At 31.6% G+C, this 7,302-nt stretch overlaps 1 annotated feature.

Moving 5' to 3' along the window:
- Positions 5,687-6,224: an enhancer, noted in NCBI's record as "OCT4-NANOG hESC enhancer chrY:3293771-3294308 (GRCh37/hg19 assembly coordinates)". NCBI's record gives its function as "activates a minimal SCP1, AML or CMV promoter by ChIP-STARR-seq in naive and primed H9 embryonic stem cells {active_cell/tissue: H9 hESC(naive and primed)}" and the evidence as "EXISTENCE:reporter gene assay evidence [ECO:0000049][PMID:30033119]".

Consider the following 7,302-nt stretch of genomic DNA (forward strand, 5'->3'; position numbering starts at 1 on the left):
AAAGATTTTGAACTGAAATGAACTGAAAATACAACATAGTATTTTTTTGATGCCCCTAAAGCAGTGTTTAGAGGGATATTTCTAGGAATACATGTTTATGGTAGAAGTTAAGAACTAAATGAAACTAGTAACAAGCTTTCATCTTTAAAATAAATAACAAATTAAAACAAAAGCAGAATCAAGTAAATAATAATTTTAAAGGTATAAAATAGAAATCAATGAAATTAAAACAAAAAACGCAGGTGTCATATATCAAACAAACAAAAAACCTGGCTGTCTGTAAATATCATTAAAATTAGCCAAATCCAAACTATACTAAGAAATAATTGACAACATTAACATTACCAATATTAGAAAATAATGAGAAAACATGGTGCTTGGCCTCACCAACACTGAAAAAATACAACTTTCAAATAACTTTATGCCCATACATTTGACAACATAGGGGACATAGAGTAGTTCCAAGATATACGCTACCTATCAAAACTCGTTTTAAGAATAGAAACTCTAAATAACCCCATATCTTTTAAATAATTAGAGCTTGTATGTAACACCTTGAAACAAAGAAGAAAGAAAACAGTAATCTCCAGATCCTGAAGGTTTCACTAGTTGATATTGCCAAATACTTAAGGAAGCATTAAATACCACGTCTTTTTCAGAAACTAGCAGAGTAAGAAATATTTTCCAACTCATTATGAGCCCAGCATTACACTGATAATTAAACCACAAACAATACAATATTATGATAAAGAAGACTATAGACAAATATACTCATGAACATAGGAGAATCTCAACAAAATACTAGCAAATTGAATGCAGCAATATATAAAATGTCTAATACATAATTACACAGTAGGATCCAGCCAAATGATAATACTTTCTGTATTTTAAAAATCAGCCTCTATTAATAGTCTAAAGAAGAAAAAAGTTGTATGGCCACATCAATAAATGCAGGGAAAGCAGTACACAAAATTGAATATCCAACCATGATCTAAATTCTCAATAGTTTAAGGAAGAAGGGAACTTAAACCTAAAAAAGATTACCTGCAGAAAGCCAATAGTTAGCTATTGTTATCTAGTAGCCAATATCTGGTTATTGTTTGTTGATGGTTAGCCAATAGTTAGCTATATATCACAATTACTGGTGCGAGACTGAATGCTTTTCCCTTAAAATTGAAAGCAACTCAATTACAGATCTCAAGTCTAAATACCCCTATTTAGAATAATATTTTAAGTTATAGCTAGTGCAACAAGAAAAGGACATAAAAGACATACTGTTCAGAAAAGAAGGAAAACAAAAACTCTCTATTCACCAACAGCATAATTGCTATAGAGAGTCATTTTTTATAAACTACAAAAACCACTCTTAGAACTAAGAAGTCATTGTGGAAAATTTGCAGGATACAAGGTCAGTATACAAAAGTCAGTCATATTGCTATATAATGACAGTAAACAATTGGAATTGGAATTTTAAATATCTTAAAAAAGTTGGAACTCCATTTTATTTCACATGCAAAAATTAACTCAAAATGGATCAAATCCTCAAATGTAAGAGCTAAACTATAAAACCCTTAGATCAAATACATGTAAAATGTGATGACATTGGGTTAGGCAATGACACCAAAAGCACCTAAACAATAACAAAAAAGATGAACTTCATAAAATTAAAAGATTTGTACTGCAAAAGATACTGTCAGGAAATAAAAAGACAACCCAGAGGATAGAAAAAATATTTAAAGTTATATTTCTCATAAAGGACATATGTTTAAAATACATAAACACCTCCAATTCAATAATAAAAAGCAGGTAGCACAGTTAAAAATGGTTAAAGAATCTGATTGCACATTTCATCAAATAGGATTCAAAAATGGCCAATAAGCACATGAAAAGATGTTTCACGTTATTGGCCACCATACAAATGCAAATCAAAACCACAATGAGATAGCACTTCATGCCCACTAGGATGATTACAATAAAAAAGATAGTTAATAAAAGTGTTAGTGTGGATGTGGAAAAACTGAAACCATCATATATTTCTGGTGAAAAACTGCTTGGCAAATTCTCAGAGAGTTAAGCATGGCATTTGCATATGACCCAGCAATGGTACTCCCAGACAAATACCAAAGTGAAATGAAAATATATGTCCATGCAAAAATTTCTATGCAAGTGTTTGTAGAAGCATTAATCATAATTGCCAAAGAGTGGGCACAACTCATTATACATCAACTGAAACATGTTTAAACAAAATGTGATATATTCATATAATGAAATATTATTCAGCCATAGGAAGAAATGAAGGTGGAAAATGAACAACAAATGTGTGCACAATATTTTGTTTCACATAATTCTTTTAGAAATATTGAAAGTATATATGACAGACTATAGCCACTTATTATAGCCCATTCATAGGAACATGCTATTTTATTCTCTGTAATTTTAGTAGATTTGGAATGCATTTTAAGCATTTTTAAAGATATTATTATCTTGTCAATTTTTTAGAAATAAACTATTAGCTTGAGGAAAACATTAGTATTTATTTATTTATTTTCTTGCCAAGGACCTTGCATTCTTTTAAAAACATATTTGTAGCTGTTAATAAAAGAAATTAATTTGAAATTTAGCTGACCAAAAATATGCCAGTGCCTTTTGAATATTATTTAAATATATATAAATTAAGGAATTTTTACAAATACATTTTTCAAAATTTTTATTTTAACTTTCTAAACAGAACTCACTCTCAAAGCTTATGACTAAAATTCAAATGCAGTTTTAATCATTTTGATCATTATTCTGTGGCAAATATTATAATTTATTCTGTTTTAAGAATTTATAATATTATCTTTAAATTAAATCTAGCACTGCCTTTACAAATGTTATACACAACACTTAAACTTCCTAGATAGTGGTTCTGGCATATAACCACCTAGACAAATGTTTGGGTCCTTATTTTCTGTAAGTTACTCAGAATATAGATGCATATTTTATCCCCCTAGAATTAATTTATCCAAATTAATCCTTTCCAAATGTATGACTCTTCTTATTTTTGGCTTCCGTAATTTCAATTAATTATTTCCAGAGTTACCTTCAAATACTAGCTGAAACTATAGCAAGTGCATATGTTCTCTGATTTGTCTTTCTGTGTTGGCTGCAATTAACCTGGTTAATGTCAAATACTAAAACTGTTTATAATCAATTTCAAGAACAAAACACAATATTTAGCATCAATTTTAAGAGCAAAATTAATAATATTAGTAAAAATACTATCACGAAAGTTTGCATATATTGCATTAATGCACAAATGTGAGTGCTCACCAGGTGCCAGACATTATGCTGTATATGCTGATGCTCATCTAATTTAAATTACAGTTATAATTATCCTGTTGTATCGATGTTGTTTTTTCTCACTTTAAAGTTGAGGAAGTGAGGTCTTATTTTAAGCCTTACTTAGAACGGATTGACTTAGGAATTTTTGAGTTTACAATGGTGGGAAAGCAATACACATTCAATAGAAACTATACTTTGAATTTTGATCTTTTCCCAGTCTAGCAATATGCAGCATCATACTCTATTGTGATACTGGGCAGGGGCTGAGAGCCACAGTTCCCAGATAGCCATGTGATCATCAGGTTAAATAACCGCTACAGTATACTCTGTTGCCAGTGGTTTTGGGATATTGTGTTTTGTGTTTTTGCATCCCATCATGTGTACAAAATGTCCATCTGTGTCTCATGCTTTTCCTGGTGAGAAGAAGAAGAAGGCAATTACTCTTGAGGTGAAACAATGTAATTGCTCAGCACAAAGTGGGCAAGCCAGTAATGGCCATTGCACATGAGTTAGGACTTCCACAATCCACAATCCTGATTATCTTATCTTGTAAGTCAATGCCTTTTGACTTAAAATATTTTAATTTAGGATGGGTTTATTGGAATGTAATCCCATCATAATTCGAAAAACCTCTGTAGTTGAAAACATTACAATTTAATCTTAGATATGTCTAATTTAGAGCTAGATCGCTTTACCACAAGAATGTGTTCACATTAATGGAAATATTTTCCTTTGATTTTTAATTTTGTTAAAAATAAATAAATCAAAAGTTATTTCTGTACATATCAAGAACTTTCCATGTCTATGTGCCTTGATTAGTTTGACCACTTGCTCAAGAAAATAGCATATATGTCAGTTAAATAATACCTCCCACAAAATTTCATTTCTTTAAAAAATATATAGAATCTCTTTGGATTGGTTGAGATTGCAAAAACATTTTGAGAAAGTTCCATATTTTCTAAGTCATTTATAATAGTGTCCTGCAATTTTGTTTTCTGCCACAAATTGATCAGGGCCACACTGTACAAACTCAAGTAACAGTTACCACTCAAAAAAATAAATCCACATTGGCAGGTGATTTTGTTTTGTCTTTTTAACAATTGTAATAGAAATTTTATCAATAGGTTTTAAAAATTACCTCCCTTAAATGCTAAATGTTCAAAAATATCAGTGTTCCACATGCTGATTTATGCTAGCAAAAATATTGCTGTCCATCTTGATTAACTAGTTTAGAACTGCATTTTGGAAAACATTAGTCACTAGCTACATGTGGCTATTGAGAACTTGCAAGGTTGGTAATCCAAATAAGGATGTGCTGTAATTGTAAAATACCAGATTTTAACAATTTAGGATGTAAAAACTTAAAATTTCTTACTAATATTTTCATAATTATTACTTACTAAATGATAATATCATAAACATATTGGGTTAACAAAAACATATTAATACAATTTTTACTTTTCTCCTTTACATAGTTAAATGTAACTACTAGAAAATCTAAAACTGTCATATTTCCATTGGACAGCATTTGTTTGAGTGTTGAAATTATTGAATAATCTCATATTATGATTCTGAAATATAGATGTACTTTTTCTTACCTTCTATTTCTTGAATCGTAGATGTAAAAAAATTTTTATGCTTAAAATTTGAATATGTGGTTTTTAGTTATTGATTAATCTATATGGGTCAAGAAAAGCTGAAGGCATTTTGGTTTAAAATATAAACTTTTGACAATTTGGTGATTGCTTGTAATTGGTCTACCTCAATGTGTTTGTATGCATATGTACACAATGCACAGCTTAACTGTTCAATTTAGTCAGTTTTTAATATAATACTTAGTTTCATTAAGAAGGAAGTATTTCAAGTTGCTCATTGCTGTTCAGAAATGTTAGTCTATCACTAATATAAATATTTTACACATATGGACTACAACACTTTAGATAAACATTCATTACAAATTAATTGAAATGATTTTGGGTGTTTTACTATTAGTCATTGATAGAATAAAATAAACAATGTATTTCTCAAAAACAATCTGAGTACTATCTGGAAGTAGTGACAGTCATACATTTAGTGGTTTCAATTTCCTTTCAAAATTATTCAGAAAAAATCACTTATACAATTGCCTAAAAAAAACTAAAATTAAAAAAGGAAAAGAAAATATTGGGAAGATCTGTCTATATTAATTCTGTGACTCTCAAATTTTATGAAGCCATAGAATAGATTCATTTGAAAAGCATATTTTTGAGCTGCTTTTAGACTTTAAGTAAGAATATCTCAATATTAATATATGGGATGCATTGAAAATTTCAGAAAAATTACAATGAATAAGTGAGATGGAAGTCAATGATGGCTTTAAATACATAAGAAATACAATTGCAACAGATTACTTTAGAAAATATTTTATTTCAGCCTAAACACTTATATGAAAACCCTACAAAACAGACCAAAAAGGGGAAGCTACCTATATTACTGAGACAAATATCATGTATGTTTTTATATGTGCTCTGAAGAGGATCCTTATTGCCTGTCACTGCTTGACTGAGGCTGCTGAAAATCAAATACAAAACCTCATCCTTTGAGTGTGTGAATTACAATACAGGTTGAACTCAAAGCCTCACAGCATGTCTACTGTTAAAGTAAAGTGAGGGCTTAGATTAGGAAAGAATGGGACATTGAATGTTAGAATGGTGGAGTGTGAAAAGACCCTGATAAAGCTGGGGAGATGAGGCCCTCAATTTTGATGAGTCTTCTTTGCCAGTGGAAGAGACTTTCTGACACCATTGGAAGCAGCCACCTCAGCCTCAGTAGTAGTGGCTTCCTCACCCCAAGTGGTAGTGGCCTTTACACCCCTTTCTAAGGGATTTAATCCTGCATTGCCTGAGGAAATTATAATGGACTCTCTGTAATCAGTGCCGTGTAACACAATGTTGATTCTTCTCAGAACTCATTCCACCACCCTTACCTGCTTCTAGATTTATAACCAGACTCCAGTCCCGGCAGGCCCCAAAAAGTGAGACACAAAGTGTGACCTTGGAGGAAGTACACTACATTTCAGAAAACTTACTTGAATTTTCCAATTTATATAGACATAAATACAAGGAATATGTGTGGAAATGGATATTAAAGGTGTGGGATAATGGAGGAAGAAATATAAAGTTTGAACAGACTAAATTTATTGATATGGGCTCATTAAGTAGAGATTCCACATTTAATGCTGTGAATCAGAGAGTTATAAAGTACTTTCACAGTTTATTTGGTTGGTTGACTGAAGCATGAACCAAAAGATAGCCTACAGTGAGTGAACTGGAAATTCCCAACCTGCCTAAGTTAAATATAGATAAAGTGGTTGAAAAGCTTAGGCATATTGCAGAGTAGGCCTTTATTCATAAAATTAAGACTTAGTTAACATGACCGAGAGTTTCCAGTAGACACATCTCTCACCACTACTGTAAGAAATAGATTTGTGAGAGTAGGCTTGGAATTTTTGAGCAGCTCTGTGTTCACTTTTCTCTGTAGGCCAGACCTTATCGTGGGGACTGCAGTCCCCGAATTGGGAAAACTAAATGCAATGGCAGTAATTAGATCTCTGGGTGGCAGGGATCACATGACAGCACTCAGCTACTAAAGGCAGTGGGGTTATGTTTCTCATAATGGATAGCAGAGTCAAAGCAGTAATCAAAAGAATCTGACTCATAGACCTATGGTGTTGGCTAGTTGATCATGGTGTTGCCAGAAGTGAAATAGACAGGAAGTCTGCTACATTCTTATTTAATCTGCATAAGCAGAAAATACTACTCAAGTGAGAAAAAGTCTAACTTGAATTAAGAAAAAAACAGAGTCAACCCCTTTAATTAATCCCCAGACTTGATCCAATTCACAGACTCAGAACCCTTGAATAAAAGGGAGACTGTGACTTCTCCAGGAAGGACTCGCGTACACTGTCAAAAATTTATACTGTTTATCTCCCCACCGGCA

The sequence above is a fragment of the Homo sapiens genome, chromosome Y (genome assembly GCF_000001405.40).
Source record: "Homo sapiens chromosome Y, GRCh38.p14 Primary Assembly".
Taxonomy (NCBI): Eukaryota; Metazoa; Chordata; class Mammalia; order Primates; family Hominidae; genus Homo; species Homo sapiens.